Source organism: Homo sapiens, chromosome 3 (genome assembly GCF_000001405.40).
Source record: "Homo sapiens chromosome 3, GRCh38.p14 Primary Assembly".
NCBI lineage: Eukaryota > Metazoa > Chordata > Mammalia > Primates > Hominidae > Homo > Homo sapiens.
In genome coordinates this window covers 134,303,498-134,322,279 of record NC_000003.12, presented here as the reverse complement: position 1 = coordinate 134,322,279, position 18,782 = coordinate 134,303,498, and the positions used below count along the sequence as shown (strand labels likewise).

The following is an 18,782-nucleotide window of genomic DNA, read 5'->3' as shown; positions in this document are numbered from 1 at the left end:
CAAAAACAAGTCCACATTCCCTTATCCACAATTATAAAATTCAAAAATCTCCAAAGAACACAATTAAAAAATAAATAAATAACACAAACACATTTGGTAGCAAAACCTGGCTGAACTCAACTGACTTAAGGCAGATTATGGCTTTATTTATTTTACTTGGTGCAGAAATATTTGTGTATTTTATCACAGGCTCTGCTGGGAGTGTGATAGAATATACATACTACCTTTCTACACTCCTTGAATTCCCAACTCCAAAATACAACTGCCCCCAAGCTTCCAGATAAGGGATTGTGGACCATAAGATTATCTACCTTTTTTTTTTTTTTTGCATTAAAATATCTCTTGAAGTATACACAAGAAACTAGCACCAGTTGCCTCTAAAAAAGGGCAACCAAGGCCAGGCGCAGTGGCTCATGCCTGCAATGCCTGCACTTTGGGAGGCCAAGGCGGGCTGATCACGAGGTCAAGAGATCGAGACCATCTTGGCCAACATGGTGAAACCCCGTCTCTACTAAAAATACAAAAATTAGCTGGGCATGGTGGCACACACCTGTAGTCCCAGCTACTCGGGAGGCTGAGGCAGGAGAATTGCTTGAACCTGGGAGGCGGAGCTTGCAGTGAGCCGAGATCGCGCCACTGCACTCCAGCCTGGGCGACAGAGTGAGACTCTGTCTCAAAAAAAAAAAAAAAAAAAAAAAAAAAGGGCAACCAGACTGGGAGGGGGAATTTTCACTTCACTGTATTTCAATCCAAACATTTTAAAGTAATATGGATATTTTATTCCATCTAAAGGTATTTTATTCTATATACTTTAGATGAAATAAAATATCCATATACACACATTTTTCCTGGAGCTTTTCCAATAAATCTCTTGCAAATGGAACCTCATCTTGGTCACTGATTCACTGATCTTTGGCGAACTCAAACTAACAAAACATACATATACACACATAGATTTTAAATCACTGTTTTACCTAAATAATATACACACTTTTCCTTATCTTGCTTTTATTATTCATAAATATCTAATTAAAATTAATCACTGGTTTACCTCTATTTCATTCTTTTTAATAGATGCATAACATCCCTAAATATGAATGCACCATAATTGATTCAGCCATTCACTTTAATTCCAACTTTTGGACACTATGAACAATAAATAAATAAATGAAGACTGTTTTAGATGTCCTCAGTGCTGGGCTATCCTGAAGCCTGATCCACTCTCTCGCTGGCACTGGCTGTGGCAGGCTGCCTGGGAATGCGGACCTGGGAAGCAGGGCTCGAGGGTTGGGGCAGGTGGGACAAGAGCTTCATCTCTGACTCACTGTGCTGCTCTGGGCATGGTGGCGAGGCCTCCTCCCTAGAAAAGTGGAGATAATGAGAGTGACTCAGTGGCAAGAACTCATATGGGCCAATTGGTGAGAAAGCCACAGGTCTCCTCATCAGCCTTCTGTGCACCTTTCCCCAGGAAGGGGCAAGAGCTGCCCCTCGGGCTCCTCCTCGGCCACATCTCCCTAACAGAGCCCCAAAGTGAGGCTGTCAGATTCCAGAACCTAAGGATTTAAGTGCCTATCAAGTACCCAATACAATAAATGGGGCAAGACCCATAGCAGGAGAAGTGGTGGGGAGATTCCAGAGCACCTGGCATAAAGGAAAGATTCCAAAGTCTTCCAGCAGGAAGAAAACAGGTCATGTAGAACGAAACAGGAATCAGACTGGGGGGTGGGGGTGCTGCAGGTTTGATTAGAGGAGGCAGGCAAACTCAGGAATTCAGTTTATAAAGTATTAAAACTTTTCAAATGTGGTATGGACAACTGAATATAGAAGTCTGAAATGTGAGGGGTTTTAGTGCAATTTTTCCTTCTTTTTTTTTTGTAAGACTCCCCTTCCCCATAACCTATGTATTATAATAACCTAGTGTATATCCGTTCATACTTTTCTCTATGCCTACATATACAAATGTATATGAACATATACACACACACAGACAGAGCCATATGTATACACATGATATGTGCATACATATATCCATATATGTACATAAACATATATAATACGTATTCACATATATGATATACAGATATGTATATCTATACATAAACATACACACACATAGCCATGTGTGTGAATATGCTACAGCTTTGAGAATGTACCTCCCATTGTTCACTCACAGGAGCTTTTTCCAATAGATCTCTTGCAAGTGGAATTCCATCTTAGTCACCGATCCTTGCAGAACTCAGACTAACAAAACATACATATACACACATAGGTTTTAAATCATTGTTTTACCTAAATGATGTATATACTTCTCCTTATCTTGCTTTTCTTTTTCATAAATATCTAATAAAAATTAATCACTGGTTTATCTCTGCTTCTTTCTTTTTAATGGATGCGTAACATTCCTAAATATAAATGCCCCATAATTTATTCAGCTTCGCTTTATTTTTTATTTTCTTATTTTTATTTTTTTGAGATGGAGTTTTGCTCTTGTTATGCAGGCTAGAGTGCAGTGGTGTGATCTCGGCACTCTAGCCGCAACCTCCACCTTCTGGGTTCAAGCAATTCTCCTGCCTCAGCCTCCCAAGTAGCTGGGATTACAGGCGTGCACCACCACACCCAGCTAATTTTGTACTTTTAGTAGGGATGGTGTTTCACCATGTTGGCCAGGGTGGTCTTGAACTCCTGACCTCAAGTGATCTGCCCACCTTGGCCTCCCAAACTGTTGGGATTACAGGCATGAGCCACTGCACCTGGTCAGCATTCACTTTAATTACAATTTTTGGACACTATGAACAATACTGTAATACACATTATCCTGTACAGATATTTGAGGACAGATGAAAAGGACTGAACTGGTGGTCAAATATACTTATAGATATATAATTTGTACAGGTTATAATATATAAAATTATTAATTTTATGTAATAATTATAATTAATTTTTTTTGAGACGGAGTTTCACTCTTTTGCCCAGGCTGGAGTAAAGTGGTGTGATCTCAGCTCACTGCAACCTCCACCCCCCAGGTTCAAGCAATTGCCCTGCCTCAGCCTCCCGAGTAGCTGGGATTACAGGTGCCTGCCACCATACCTGGCTAATTTTTTGTATTTTTTTTTTTTTTTTTTTTTTGAGACGGAGTCTCGCTCTGTCTCCCAGGCTGGAGTGCAGTGGCGCGATCTCAGCTCACTGCAAGCTCTGCCTCCCAGGTTCACGCCATTCTCCTGCCTCAGCCTCCAGAGTAGCTGGGACTACAGGCGCCCACCACGACGCCCGGCTAACTTTTTGTATTTTTTGTACAGACGGGGTTTCACCATGTTAGCCAGGATGGTCTCGATCTCCTGACCTCATGATCCCCCAACCTCAGCCTCCCAAAGTGCTGGGATTACAGGTGTGAGCCACTGTGCCTGGCCAAATTTTTTGTATTTTCAGTAGAGATGGGGTTTCGCCATGTTGGCCAGCCTGGTCTGGAGCCCCTAACCTTAGGTGATCCACCCACCTTGGCCTCCCAAAGTGCTAGGATGACAAGCGTGACCCACTGCACCCGGCCACATAATTGACTTTTTTAAAGGCTAGAGAAAGTCACATTTCAAGTAACGCTGTACGTGAATACCCCTTTCTCTGCAGGTCCACCAGCATTCCCAGTCTTTTTATTTTTTTCAAGCTGACCTAACCATTTCACTAACTGCTAGTGATTTTTCATATGTTTTTGGCTCTTTGAAACTGCCATTCCATAAATTGCATTTCTATTGAATCTTTTATCTTTTTCTTGGCAATTTGTAAATGTTCTTTGTGCCCTTTGTCCTCTGATTTATAAGTATGGTTTCCAAATCTGTTCATCTATTCTTTGTGCTATCTTTTGCCACAAAAATTTAAGATTCTAATCTAGCCAAATATGTTTATCTTTTATTTCATAGCTTCTGGGTTTCTGGTATTTGTTAAGGCGTCCCCCCACCCCAAGTCTTCATTGTCCAAGAAGGCTGCTAGAGCTCTAGTCATCACATCTGCATTACAGGCGGCAGGATGGAGAAAGGAACAAGAAAGGCACTTCACCTCCCTTTGAAGACATCTTTGCAGATATTCACACACAATAATTCCACTTGCATGTCACTGGCCATAACTTAGTTATGTCTACATAGTAGCCATAGTTAGCTGCAATATTGTCACCACCATCTTTGAGAAATACAACCTGCTATACCCACACTTAGAACCAAGAGCACTCTTGCTTCTCAGCATTCAGTAGACAAGCTGAGACCACATGCTGCTGAGAGAGAGCTGAAGCCTGGGAACCCACCTCTTACCCTAGAACTTAAAGTATAATTAAAAAATAATAATAATAAATTAAAAAAAGAGAGGGAGAAAGGGCTTCTCTTCTGGCCCTCAGGCATCATGCTTAAGACACAAGGCCTACTAAGTCACAAACAGCCTACCGGGAGGATCGCAGCCCTGAGGCTTCTGTGAGCAAAATCCCAGAATGACTGCAGTCTCCAGAGGTGTCACCTCTACCTCAAGCTCCTCTCCCTCAAGCTCCTCTCCCTCCAGTGTTCTCCCCAGGGGATGGGCAAGAGTTTGTGGCTGGGTGGAGAATAGCTAAACCTGCTGGCATGCAGGGCTGATGGCTTCTGAACTATGGGAAATACCACTAGGCATTTCCAGGCAGATGGGGGCTTTAGGGAATTACTTATGATTCATGCCAGTCTGCAGGGTATGTCTGTGCCAAAGAGAACAACACAACATTGGAAATACTTTCTAACCAGAATCACTCACTCCCTCACTCAGTCACTCACAAGCCCACTTGTCATTCATTGAGGACCCAGAGATGGGGCTAGGCACATCTATCCAGGCTTTCTTCCTGCAGTTCTGTTCTCAGTTGAAAAACAACATCAGTGGAAGAGGTAGGCCAGTGGAGAGCAGCTGGGCCATGAAGGGAAAGACAGAAAAAGTTCATAAGCTGGCACACAAGAGCCGCAGCCATCCTATGGGGCAATGTGGACCCTGAAGACTCGCCTGCCTTCAGAGGCTGGCGCCACCACATGCCTCAGCCTCACCGAGCCTCAGCTTTCTCATGGAGGAAGTGAGAGGGTAATCCCAGACCTGCCCCAGTCTCAACATTGAGAAGTGGGGTGATGTGGGGAGTCTCTCCAGATCAGCATACTCTGCTCCAATGCTCCTGTTGTATTAAAAAAAAATCTTTGAGGCCGGGCGCGGTGGCTCACACCTGTAATCTCAGCACTTTGGGAGGCCGAGGCAGGCAGATCACCAGCTCAGGAGTTCGAGACCAGCCTGGTCAACATGGTGAAAACCCGTCTCCACTAAAAATACAAAAATTAGCTGGGTGTGGTGGCATGCGCCTGTAGTCCCAGTTACTCAAGAGGCTGAGGCAGGAGAATAACTTGAACTCGGGAGGTGGAGGTTGCAGTGAGTCAAGATCGTACTACTGCACTCCAGCCTGGGCGACAGAGCAAGACTTCATCTCAGAAAAAAAAACAAAAACAAACAAAAAAAAAATTTGAGAAAATTATACACATATTACATCTTTGTCATTAAAATATCCAGGAAACACAGATAGGCGAAAGGAAGTCAAAAACATAACTGTTAATTGTAGAGGAAAGAGCTGTTAACATCTGGACATAGGCTTTTTCAGCATTTCCAGTACCTAGATATATATTTTAATTGGCTTATACTTTATATATGGCTTGGTAATTTCCCTTTTTTTCACTCAACAATATGCCATGAGTTTCTTTCTACGTCAATAAGCAAACTTCCTCGACATATTCTAATGTTTGCATGACATTCTGTCAATGTGTTGTATGACTAATTTTTCCTTTCCCTGGGGTCTAAATATGATCTAGCACAGAACTGTTACTGATCCTGACTTTATTTAAAATTTTGATGTTTGGTTCACCATGGATTAATCTTTATTTTTAAAAAGTTGCATTAAAATATTACTTGTCTTGATTATGGGGTTTTGGGGTACCCCCTACTTCAGTTGCTTCACCCTCATTCCAGCCCTGTGTCATGTAGATACTCCATACTTTATGCCACTAAATGTTGGGATCCTTGAGTTGTTTCCAGTATTCCAGTTTCTCTGTCTCTGTATTTCCAGAATCCAGTACAATGCCTGGTGCCTGGTAAGCACTCAATAAATATTTGTTGTATGACTGAATGGACGGATGAATGAATGAATGAATGAATTGGTGAAGGAAGGAAACACTGCAATGATTATTTTTGTGCCTAAATTTTTGTACACATCCCCTGAAGGAAAAGGGAATGGGTGTCAAGAGAGGAGGAGGAAAGGCAGAGGCCTTAATGGAAGGACAGCACAGGACCAGGTGTCCACAGCACAGTCCAGGGGAGGCAGCAGTCTGAGTCATGTGTGTGTGGGCGTGAGGCAGGGCTCTAGTGGGCTGGAGTTGCCCTCTCAGTTTATGCACTATCCAAGCCCACCTGGAACCCCCTTTGGAAGTCCCCAAATGGAGCTATCACTACTGCGGCGTGGCTCTAGCCCAAAGAGCTGGAACCAAAACACGGCCATATCCCAGCTGTGTGACTAGCACATGCTCACACAGAGGCGGCACACACACCCAGCCCCAAGAGCCTCCCTCGCACAGGCTGACTCAGAAACTCACTTGGAGACTGGGCTGCAGGCCCGCTGGCCGGCTTACTTCTCCAGGGGTGCCGAGACTCTGTGCCCCCAGCGTAGAGCTGCCTCTCCATAGCAATAGCAACAGGGGGTTTTCTCAACCCTAACCAACGTGTGGAATTTTAAAATAACAAAGCCAGAATCCAAGAGAGGAAATTCTAAGAACATGAAATAAGTCAAAAAAGCAGAGGTGGCTGTTTATTTTCCATCGACTGCTTCGTCCTCTGCCTCCCTCCCTGACCCCAAAGGCTGGGGGAGGGGTCCGGATTCAGATGTCAGCACCACAAAGCTAAAGGAAACCCATCTTCCTGTGTTTGCCAAGGAACAATGCTGGAGAGGCCATTCCAAGGCCTGCACTTTTCCTCTGCACATAAGAATTTAGGTCCCAGTGCATTCATGGGACAAAGAACTTCTGGATATAAACATTTCTGTTCCATCACTCAGTGACATTTGTGACACACAGAGACTAAGATCCCGTGTGGCCTCATGTGCTCAGATCCATACTGACCCAAGCCGAGTGAGGATCTAGTAGGAGATTTACAGTCCTGGCCCCACCTTTCAGCTAATCAGCTGAAGGGTCTGATCTCCTCTACCACCCCAGTGACAACCTCCCAGCTCTGCTTTCTGTCCCTGCCCTCCGAGCTCCCATTAGTCCTTTTCTGGATACTGCCCAAGTTCAGCCTTCCTGGCCCTGACCCTCCTTGCTTCATTCATCCTGTTCTCAGCCCATGGGCCAATCTCCCATGCTGCACCTGCAAGCAAGGTCCTTCTCTGCTCCAATTCCTCCTTGCCCACAGCATTGGGTGCCCTGGATGTATTCCAGGATCTTTATGATGCCCTCTTCCATGCCAGTCTCATGTCCTGCATGCTACCACCCCCAAATCAGGGAAGGACAAAAAGCAGGAAGTTCCATGACCAGACCCACATGGTCTTCCCCTTGGGAAGGCCCCTCCGCAGGGATGAAGAGCTGGACAGCTGCCTTTTCGGAACCAGAAATCAGTACTACGAAGGGGAAGAGGAGTCAGTCAATCAGGCAAGGTGCTGAGAGACCAGCCAATGTACACAGAGCGCCTACTAGGTGCTAGGCCCCACACCAGATGCTTATGGGCATTATCTATCAGTCCCCACAATACTCCCACAGCAGCGTGCTGAGTCCTGATTCTCTTCTCACTCTTCACGGGCCACTGCTGTGCCTCTCGCAGAAGAGGGGCTCCATAGACCAACCAACATCATGAGTGGACTGAGATGGACACCCTGACCCTTACTGTGACTCAGCTGGGCCTTTGGCAGGCATGGGGAGAGGCCAGGAGCAGACTTATGCTCTGTTTGGGGGCCAATCGCAGCACAGGCTCTTCCTCTGCACATAAGGTTCCCTCTGTCTAAAATACTCTTCTCCCATCTTTTGGGCTGACTCCTACTGATCTTCCGTGTCACTCTGCAGCTTCTCCCAGGAAGCCCTCCTGGATCTCCACCCCCAATCTGTGTTATTCCTCGGTGTTCCCCCACACCCTGGGCTTCCCCCAACTCTCCCTCGGTGTTTCAGAGACTGTCTTGAGGATCAGAATGTCAGCCCCTCAAGGACAGGATGACTTCACCTCTGTGCCCCCAGAATTAATCTCAGGAACTGGCACGGAGCAGAGGCTCAGCAAATATTTGTTGAATGAGTTAAATGCTGTTAGGTATTCAGTCACTCCCTGGCCGATCAGAAAGCACCTAATCCTAAACTAGATTGTCCGCTTTCCCTCTTCTCTCCCCAGGTCTTGCCCTTCACAATGTGCCCCCTAAATGGGCACATTTTGGGATCTGAACCCTGTGCCCCTTGAGGCTGATGATGGAGAGGGGCACGTCCTATCTCCTCTTTGAGCTACTGGCCTGGCTTTCTCAGTGCCTCAGCGGACCACTGCGGGCTTCCCTCCTTTCCTCCAGCGCGACTGGTCTCGCCGCACCCCTGTCCGGTGCCTCCTGCGAGTCCCTCCTGGTCGCGGCCCTCGGGGCCCTGTCCTCCACCCGGACAGACGGACGTACCGGGGGCTTGGGGAGAGGGTGGCACAGAGCGGGCCGGCGTTCTCCAAGGAGAGGAGAACAAACTTGTGCGCTCAGAGCGCGCAGTGAACACCCTGCTCACATTCCTGCGCCGGCCGGAATGCCGGCCCGGGACCAGCCAAAGGCCGCATTCCTTGCGCCGCGGCCAGCTCGCAGCCCCGGCTCCTGCCCCGCCCCTGCCCGCCCCTACCCGCCCCCAAACCCGGCCCCGAGCCCTAGCCCTTGCGGGCGCCCCCCGGCGGCTGCCCCACTCCGCTCCCAGCCCGCCTTTTGGATCTGAGCGTCCCCTCTCCCTCTTCCCCGGGAAGCGTCCGGCTTCCCCACACTGCTGCTTCCATTTCTGCAGCCCCACTCCTCCATCGCTTTTAGTTTTGTTATTTGCTCCCAATGAAAACAGGTAAAAACCTTCCACGGCCCCTCAGAACCTTGGTGACAAACACCCCCGCCCCTGGGCGGCTTCATCTCCCGGGTTCCCCGCACCCCGCCTGGGCGCGGCCCTAGCCCTCTCTAACGCCCGCACCCCCTGGAGCTCCCGCCGGGGCTCCCGGCGCCTAGGGTCGGCTCCCACGCAGGCGCCTCGGGCCGGAGGCCCCGCTGCAGCCTGGGCCCTGCCCGCCTTGCCCAGAGGCTCTGCGGAGGGCTCAGGGAAGGAAACGCAGTCCGCCCCTGTCCCTGCGGCTCTGGGTTGGAAACTGTGAGAAAATGGGTCAAAGTGGGTCTGTAGGAGTGTCCACCCGCCCCGCCGGATAAAGCGCCGCTCCCCCGTAGTGAGGATCACGCTCTTGGGGAGAGTTGAGGCCCCAAGAAAGTCCATAACCACTGGGCTGGGGGTTTCCACGACGGTATAGAAACCACTCAGATCACACACATCAGCTGACACACACAGCTGCGCTCACGTGGAAACACCACGGAATCAAGTGAGCAAATGGACTTTTCCCTAAAGCCAGACCACAGGCCTGCGGAAGTCCCTGCCTTCCCGCAGGGACTCGAGGCGGGAGTGTGCGATGTGCGCTTGCCCCTGCAGGGGGCCTTGCCCAGATTCTTGGCCAGTGTGTGCTACCCAGGGCGGGCAAAGCATGGGCTTTCACCCATTTTCCCAGCTTGTTGACAGGGCGCTTTCTCAGTGGGAAAGGTGCCACGGCCTAACATCATTTGCGTGGGGAAATTTGCATGTTTATCAGCCCACAGACCTGTGAAGGACTCACCCTCTGGATGAAGTGACACCTGGGAACCCAGTAATGCAGCAAGGCATGCCTGGAACTTGCATTGCTCACCATCCGGAGCCGTGGTTTGTGCTGCCAGGAAAGGCGGGAAAACAGAACCCAGATTGTGATTGGCAGACTCCTGGCCTGGAGGAAGGGTGGGAAGTCAGGAGCGCTTCATGGGAGGCTGAGCCTGATGGCCGACTTGCCTTGCTTGGTTGGTTTCGTAACCTCTGAGAGCAGGAAAATAAAATGGCTCCTTTCCTACCTGGCAGGGGTGTGGCCTGCAATATCTGGAGGTAGGCCCAGAGTGCCCAGGTGGCAAGTGGCCATGCAGCCCTGATTTGAGGTTGTAGCCCTCGCTCAAGGTCTGTCTCTTCCCCATGACACAGAAGATGGACATTCTAGACATTTTACACCACCCTGGCAGTTCATCAAATGGCAGTGCCAAGGCTCTGCCTCAGTGGAATGTGAGGGTGCTCGAGGTGATGATGACTAAGTCAGACACAAGAGAAGCCCCAGTGAGGACCCTATTCATTTTACAGACACTTACTGAACCCAGCCCCTACCTCCAAGAGACTCACGGTCCCCTGCGGGAAGCAGACTCCTGGCCATTTCAGTGCAGAGTGATAAATGACAAGGCAAAAGCAGCCCCAGTGTGCAATTTGAGGACCACGAGGGGTACTGAACCCACCTCTGGGTGGGCCTTCTGGAAGGAGCTGCTCTCCAGGGGAAGTAGGGGCAGGGAGGAGGCTCTGCCAGGAGAAGAAACTTTCTGGCCTCTAGAGTCCTTTTTTTTTTTTTTTTTTTTTTGGTGACAGTCTTCCTCTATCACCCAGCTAGAGTACAGTGGTGCTATCCTGGCTCACTGCAGCCTCATACACCGGGCTCAAGCCATCCTCCTGCTTCAGCCTCTGAGTAACTGGGACTACAGGCATGAGCTACTATGCCCAGCCTAGAGTCCTTTTTAGTATTCTGCAGCCAACATGCCATTGTGCTGATGTTTTGCTAAAGAACCTCCACGGATTTTGCCAGTCATGTGGTTGGACTGAATAGCATTTAAGGCTTCCATTCCAAGGTCCCTTTCTGAAGATGAGTGGGATTATAATTTCCCACTGGGCCCAGGTAGGGGTCTGGTTTCGATGATGAATTGGCCTCAGAAATTCAGCCCCTTCTCTTGGAGTTGCTTAAAGTCAGGGCCCTCCTCACTGATGTGTGAAGTGTCATAGCACTCCCCACACTCAGGTGTGTCCAGTGTGTGCAGCAGAACTGGGCAGGGAGGGCTTGGCCCCAAGGGAGGACCAGCCCCCATCTCCCATGACCTTTCCCGCACACTTAGGTGAATGGCTGACCTCTTCGGAGTCTCACTTCATCCTTGTGCTTAAAATGAATAAACGACCCCCAGGCCTTCCCTATCCCATATTAAGAGAAATTAATTCAAATAATAAACTCTTTGAAAGACTAGAGTTTTCAAAAATGTCATTATACAGAATAACGTTTCTCAAAATCCCTAGTTTGTGGGGCATGGGCAGAGGGGTTTGGTGAAAATTCTTTTTCCTGGGCCAGCTGATAGTCTGAGCCGGGAGGCCATAAGTGAGGCCCAGGACTCTACATGCTTAAAAAATCGTCCTAAGGAATCCTGATGCTTTGACAGGAACTTATACAGACAACCTTACATTTGCTCTCAGGAAGTCCTCTTAGAAAGTTCATTTCACTATCTCGAATCTGGAATCCCAGCACTTTGGGAGGCTGAGGCAGGCAGATCGCTTTAGCCCAGGAGTTTGAGAACAGCCTTGGCAACATAATGAGACCCCATCTCTACAAAAGAAAGAAAAAATTAGCCATGCGTGGTGACACATGCCTGTGGTCCCAGCTACTTGGAAGGCTGAGGTGGATCGCTGAGCCAGGGAGGTCAAGGCTGCAATGAGCCGTGATTGTACCACTGCACTCACAGAGTAAGACCCTGTCTCAGAATAAGAAAATAAATAAGAACCATCTTTCTGTCAAGATTCAGACAAATCCCACGAGATTTTTAAATCTGCCCCTGAAAGGAAGAACTTAAGGAACGGGATCTAGAGGGAGGCCCCTCCATTGTGCAAGATGGGGAAATGCCCACAAAGTCGACACTCCAGGGAGTGCCACAGAGCACCACGCAGTGGAAGGCTCCCACCCCCTTCCTCCTCCCTTTTCTCTTCCTCCCCTCCTTTCTGTTACAGGAATTGGACACTTGTAAAGTAGACCAAAAACAAACAAAAACCACCTGACTTGAAATGCCTCAACTGGAATTGAAACCAAAGTCCCCAAGGGTCATAGTTCCAATGCCTAGCCCTTAAGCAATGTCAGCAAGTCTTCACAAACCTAACAGCTCAGGCCCTTGGCCCAAAACAAACTAAGAATGGTAAAGACAGGAACGCTGAACTGTTGGCTGCGGCATACTCCAGTGGTCTTTTGATCTGTGCCTCCACCCCCAAATAGGGTTTGGCCTGCACCCCTGACATACCATGTACCTGTGCTGCTGTCACTGGCTATTACTGTATCAAGGCACAGCGATTTTTTATTATTACAGCAAGGTTCATTGTAAGTGATAATAGATATAATTTCAAATAATTTTGACAGGTTTAAATTTGGGAGATGAGTGCCCTAAAAGGTCTGTTTAGAATGTCATTTTTATGTCATAATGCAGCTAAGAGTCCCCACAAAAAGTGGAAGTGGCAGCTCAGGCATCTTCGTCTGGTTCGAACATGCAGATACTGATCGCTTTACCATCAAACCTTGGACTCTTCATAGGAATCCTTAGAAGTTACTTGTCAATTCCGTGAGGATGACTGTGGTTCAGTTATGTGTTATCTAGTTAGGTTTGGTATATCCAGCAGAAATCCTATCCAGCAGGAGCAAGCCAACTGTGCTGAGGCTTGTTCCTGTCAGGGCACCCCCATTCTTCTCTCAGTTCACCACACACACTTTGCCGACTCAGTACTATTTGAAATACAAACCAGTGACAGAGCCAGCACCAATCTGAATATAAAACATTAAAATTAGCTGGGCGTGGTGGCGGGCGCCTGTAGTCCCAACTACTTGGGAAGCTGAGGTGGGAGGATCTCTTGAGCCAGGGAGGTGGGGGCTGCAGTGAGCCAAGATTGCACCACTGCACTCCAGCCTGGGCGACAGAGTAAGACTGTCTCAAAAAAAAAAAAAAAAAAATGAAGTCACATTGTCATTTATTTATTTACTTATTTTACAGACAGGGTGTCGCTATGTTGCCCAGGCTGGCCTCAAACCCCTGGGCTCAAGCGATCCTCCCATCTCAGCTTCCCAAGTAGCTGGGACTACAGACCCATGCCACCGCATCAGCTCTTATTTTTAGATTAAAATTATAAATACTCACATAAAGGTTCTGTTATTTTCTTCCTGCACCCCCAACAGATCATCTTACATATCCCAATTTGGAGGCCACTGACCTAACCAGGATCCTCTCACCCCAGGAGCCCATCTCTGAAAAGCTTTCTGCTATCAGAAGCGCCCCAGCAGTTAGCCATTTCCCTGAAAATCAGGCGGCCAGGCCCCACAACTGGAAGAATTTCTGACAGAGCAGAAGAATCACATGTTCCAATTCAGACTTCTACTTTGGTATCTGCAACCGCCAGCCTCCCCATGCTCCCCTGCCAAGTTGTGGGGGTGAGGGTGGGCTGAAGACTGTGCTGAAGCAAGGTGGGGTGGGCCCTACTGGGTGTGAATTTGTGGGACTCCCTTGTGTTCCCAAGGCCACACTCAGGCTGCATTCCTGAGGTCTGCAGGGGAGTGGCTGCGTTCCTGGTCCAAGTATAGAGAAACAGCGTCCCCTGGTGGCCCTAACATGTAGTGCCTCAGAACCCCGGCTCCTTCCTTTACTATTTGCTGAACTCGCTTTGATGCTCTAGTATAATGGCGTAATTATTTATACAGCGATGTGTTGCAAAGACCTGGGGTGGTATCTGGGCTCATCTGTGTGATCTTGGGCAAATTAGCTTCTCTGAGTCGCAGTATCTTCAGCATTAAAATCGGATAATCAGACCTACTTTTTAGGGTTGTTGCTAGAAGCAAATGAAAGGATAAATGAAAAGCAGTAAACAGTGGCGAGCACATAGGCAGGACCTCTGCTATGATGTTGGTCATGACGCTTGATGTTGATGCCTGCAGACACTGAAAGGCAACTGAAACATCTTTCTAGACACAGACCTGGAGAGATAGTGAGAGGTTGTGGACAGGAACTCTCCTGTTCCTGAGCTAACACACACGGAGGAGCAGTGAACACGTCCTGGACAGGTGTAGTGAGTACGAGCCTGTGTGTGTGTGCACAAGCACCCTCCCCATGGAAATGCAGAGCGCTCTGGAAGGTGCTCAGCATACATCGCAGAGGGAAGGAGTGGTGACAGCAGGGAAGCAGTGTCACTTATTCTCCAGGCATATTGCAGAGCTAGACCCTGAGAAAGGATCAGAGTTTATTAATTCATACAATTACTTATTGATCACCTAATATGTGCAAGGCAAGGTTAACAAACTTTAGCAAACAACTATCACAAAACATTCAAACAGAGGCAAGTGTTAAACAGCAGAGTTAGTGTAGGCTGGTGTTCTGAGGACTAAGAATTGTATTCCCCAAAGCCACCAGGACAGAACAACTGAAAACACACAAAGCCAGGCCCAGGCAGAGTAAGGATTTCTGTGCTCTGGTGGCCTGCGGGAGTTGCATCACCACTAAGCTCTCTGGAACATGCTTGGGCCCACTCAGTCCATTTGAAGCCAGGACAAGGTGTGAGGTGAGCCCTCTGTAATCATCCCTGCTCATGACTAGGATTCCAGCCAACTAAAATGTGGTTTTGTTAAAAGCTAGTAACCCCTGGGTGTTCCCCCAGCTTTCTCCTACCCACACCTGCAGAACGGGATATGAGCCCTTCCTGGGTTTGGTGATGAAGAAAGAGAGGGTCTGGTGGCCCAGAAGAGGTACGCAAGATCTGCCAACCCCAAACAGGGCCCTTAGGGAACAATCAGTTCTTCCGCAATCCAGAAGAATTTACGCATCTGCACAGGTGAATTGAAAGATCAAAATACGTGAAACATTTGTTGCTGTGCTTCCCAACCACCCCTAAATTACAGACTTCTGACTTGTGGATATTCATCCTCACACCCTTGAGAAGTGCCCTGACCTCACAGAGCCTATTACTTATATTACTTATTAAACACCTACTATGTGCTGGGCAGGGTTAGCAAAATCAGGGGTGGAGAAGGCTGGGTACTAAGGTCAGGGAAGGGCTTCTGCCCAGTTGAGGCTTCTCCTTTCTCATAATCTCCTTTCCCCCTTGGATTCTTTTTCTCTTCTGTCCATCTCACCCATATTCACCTCTAGGGGGATGCAGGGCTTGTCTTTGGCCCACTGCTATCTCCACCAAGCACAAAACATTAATACTCCCTCTGCCTCCAGCACTGCCATTCAAGGTAAATGCAAAATTGTTGCTGCTTCAATGTTTCTACTTTCTTGCAAACTTGGAAAACAACACTGCTACAGTCTTTTTTTGAGTCTTATTCTGTCACCCAGGCTGGAGTGCAGTGGCGTGATCTCCGCTCATTGCAACATTCACCTCCCGGGTTCAAGAGAGTCTCCTGCCTCAGCCTTCCGAGTAGCTGGCACTACAGGTGCATGCCACTACGCCCAGTTAATTTTTGTATTTTTAGTAAAGATGGGGTTTCACCACATTGGCCAGGCTGGTCTCGAACTCCTGATCTCAGGCAATCTGCCCGCCTTGGCTTCCCAAAGTGCTGGGATTACAGGCATGATCCTCCGCACCCGGCCCAGTCTTACAACTTTTCTGGAAAGGTCCTGTACAGCTGTTCAGCTTGGGAGTGAGTTGGAGTAGGAGACGAGCTGGGAACCACCCACCATGGAAAACGCTGTTTCTGTAGAGACATTCTGAGGTCAAACAACTGATTTCAAAAGCTCCAGCTCCCTAGATCCCTGTGGATCTGTTTTCCCTTTTCCTTGTCAGGCACCTGGAAACATTCCACCCTTTTCCTGACTCTCTTGTCTGCCTAACACTCTAATCAGTCTTTCTTGGCTCTGTCCTTGTACCTCAAGAAGGAGAGAAACAAAGGAAGGAGCCAGTTCACGGACAAGGGCTCTTCCAAATTCAAAAGTGTTTTTCACTTCCATTAGGAGGGTTTAGAAGGTACATAAAAACTAAGCGACAAATCAATAAATAAACAAACAACTATTAACTCCAGGAAAAAATAAAGGGAGACATAATCATAATGGACTTTTGGACTCAACCATGAATTGAGCTCACATGTTTATCCAAAAAATAGTAACAATTTAACAAAAAGTTGGGACATAACTATCATAGCAGGATGCAGAAAATGATAGTAGGGACATGGTGGTGGTGTTATCACTGAATCTTTGTCTTCCAATGATAGGAAATCAAAAGATAACATCTAGAGTTGAGAAGTACGGCAGTAAGTACCAGGAAAATAACAGTTTAAAAGTTTAGGGAGGCTGGGCACAGTGGCTCACGCCTGTAATCCCAGCACTTTGGGAGACTGAGACAGGTGGATCACCTGGGGTCAGGAGTTTGAGACTAGCCTGGCCAACATGGTAAAACCCCGTCTCTACTAAAAATACAAAAATTAGCCAGGTGTGGTGGCACACGCATGTGGTCCCAGCTACTTGGGAGGCTAAGGCAGGAGAATCGCTTGAACTAAGGAGGCGGAGGTGTAGTGAGCCAAGATAGCACCACTGCTTTCCGGCCTGGGCAACAGAGCAAGACTCCAACTCAAAAAAAAAAAAAGAAAAAAAAAAGTTTAGGGAGAGGAACAGGAATAAGAAATTGTGGGACAGTGTGATTTTTACTATAAACTATATAAGCTATATTTTGCTCATAAAACAATCCTCATGTACTACTTTGATTTTCAAAAATAATAATCTAGAATTTTTGAAAAGAGAGCCGAATGTCTGGGAGATAATGTTGAAAAATATCTCCTTTAAGGCAGAGTGTAAAGACTGAGAGATGGAAAACATAGGATAAAATAAAATAACATGAAAATAAATCTAGACCCAGATGTCTGGATCCAGGAGGGGAGGAAACAACTGAGGAAGTAACCAAAAGACATTTTCCTAAGGCAAAGAAAGACACAGATGATCAGAGAAAAGGATCCATTGAAGGTGAGAATATGAATAGGGAAATCAAGAAAAACAAACAAATACCAACACTGATGACCAATAAACACAGGGAATAATATAAGCCACACACACAGCTAAAAAAAAAAATGCATATTAAAACACCGATGTTTTCACCTACCCAGATGGGTAAAACTTTGAAACCTTGAAATTACCCAATATTAATAAGTAAATGGAGAATCAGCACTTTGATAATCTGTTACTGAGAATGCAATGGTGCTGAGTTTGCGCAAGGCAAATTGGTGAGAAAAAAAATCAGAATTTAAAATGCCCTTGCTCTTTATTCCAGCACTGTCATTATTAGGAATTCATCCCTTGCATAAACTCATTAAAGTATGTCAAGATATCTATAATTGATAGCAGCAGGAGGCAGGCAAGAACCTAGGCAGATAGGGATGGATCCCCAGTAAAACCCCACCTCCAAGCCAAAAACAACTGTTTAAAGCCTGAAAGTCAAGCTACAAGTCAAATCCACAGACCAGATTGAGAACCTGTCATCCCGTTTGACATGCTTTCCTGATTGATCCCTTCCCTTCACCTATTTGACATATACCTACCCTTTCCTAATTGGTTTTCTACACTGTTGTGCCCACCCTTGAGTGATATCCTTGCTTTAACCTTTTTTGCATACTCACAAACCAATCAGCACACGTTCCCCATTCTGAGTCCATGAAAAGCCCTGGACCCAGCCACACAGGGAGAGAAACCACCTAACTGTGGGGGTGGGGGACTACCCCCTGCATCCCCCCTCTGCTGAGAGCTGTTCTGTTGTTCAATAAAGTTCTTCTCCACCCATTCTCATCCTTCAATTGCCCAGGCTGGTCTCAAACTCCTGGGCTTAAGCAATCCTTCCACCTCAGACTTCCAAAGTGGTGGGATTGCAGGCATGGGCCACCACACCTGGCTTATTTTATGCTTTAAAAATGTTAATTGGAGTTATCTGGCTGGTGGTATTGTGAGCCATCTTTGTTTGCTTCGAAATATTTTTTGGTACTAAGCCAAATAAGTATTTTGTTTTGTTTGAGTTGTTTTAAGGGACCCACTGAGGGCAATAAGGATGAGTAAAGAAATATCACATTTAAATGCACTTGGGTGGCTGGGTGCGATGGCTCACGCCTGTAATCCCAGCATTTTGGGAGGCAAAGGTGGGCAGATCACCTGAGGTCGGGAGTTCGAGACCAGCCTGACCAACATGGAGAAACCCTGTCTCTACTAAAAACACAAAATTAGCCAGGCGTGGTGGAGCATGCCTGTAATCCTAGCTACTCAGGAGGCTGAGGCAGGAGAATCACTTGAACCCGGGAGATGGAAGTTGCGGTGAGCCGAGATCGCACCATTGCACTCCAGCCTGGGCAGCAAGAGGGAAACTCCATCTCTAAATAAATAAATGCACTTGGGTAAAATTTCAGAACTTCAAGAATAAAGAGAAAATCATATAAGCTTCCAGAAAGAAAAACATAGGTACGTATAAATAAATAAGTTTCAGCCTGACATCAGATTTTTACACCAATTAGATGCTATGAGACAAAGAGCGGCATCTTCCAAGTTTTGAAAGAAAATTAATTTGAATCTGGAATTCTATAGTCAGCTGAATTACCACCCAAAGGAAAGACAAAATAAAGACATTTTCTGAAATTCAGGGAGTCAGAAAATTTACTACTCATGCACTGCATATGAAGAAATTACTCAAGGAGAT

The 18,782-nt window shown here is 47.1% G+C and overlaps 1 long non-coding RNA gene across 1 annotated transcript, besides 2 other annotated features; it reads right to left on the bottom strand.

Annotated features, from left to right (window-relative positions):
* Nucleotides 1–1,108: 1,108 nt before the first annotated feature.
* LINC02004 (long intergenic non-protein coding RNA 2004) lies at nt 1,109–8,704 on the bottom strand. The gene is made up of 2 exons (NR_146711.1): nt 8,663–8,704; nt 1,109–1,360 (listed from the first exon to the last, which is right to left on the bottom strand). It is a non-coding gene; the product is annotated as a long intergenic non-protein coding RNA 2004 (long non-coding RNA).
* Nucleotides 7,992–8,565: an enhancer, noted in NCBI's record as "H3K27ac-H3K4me1 hESC enhancer chr3:134032557-134033130 (GRCh37/hg19 assembly coordinates)". NCBI's record gives its function as "activates a minimal SCP1, AML or CMV promoter by ChIP-STARR-seq in primed H9 embryonic stem cells {active_cell/tissue: H9 hESC(primed)}" and the evidence as "EXISTENCE:reporter gene assay evidence [ECO:0000049][PMID:30033119]".
* Nucleotides 13,519–13,813: a silencer, noted in NCBI's record as "tiled region #8229; K562 Repressive DNase unmatched - State 12:CtcfO". NCBI's record gives its function as "represses a minimal TATA promoter and a strong SV40 promoter by Sharpr-MPRA in K562 cells {active_cell/tissue: K562}" and the evidence as "EXISTENCE:reporter gene assay evidence [ECO:0000049][PMID:27701403]".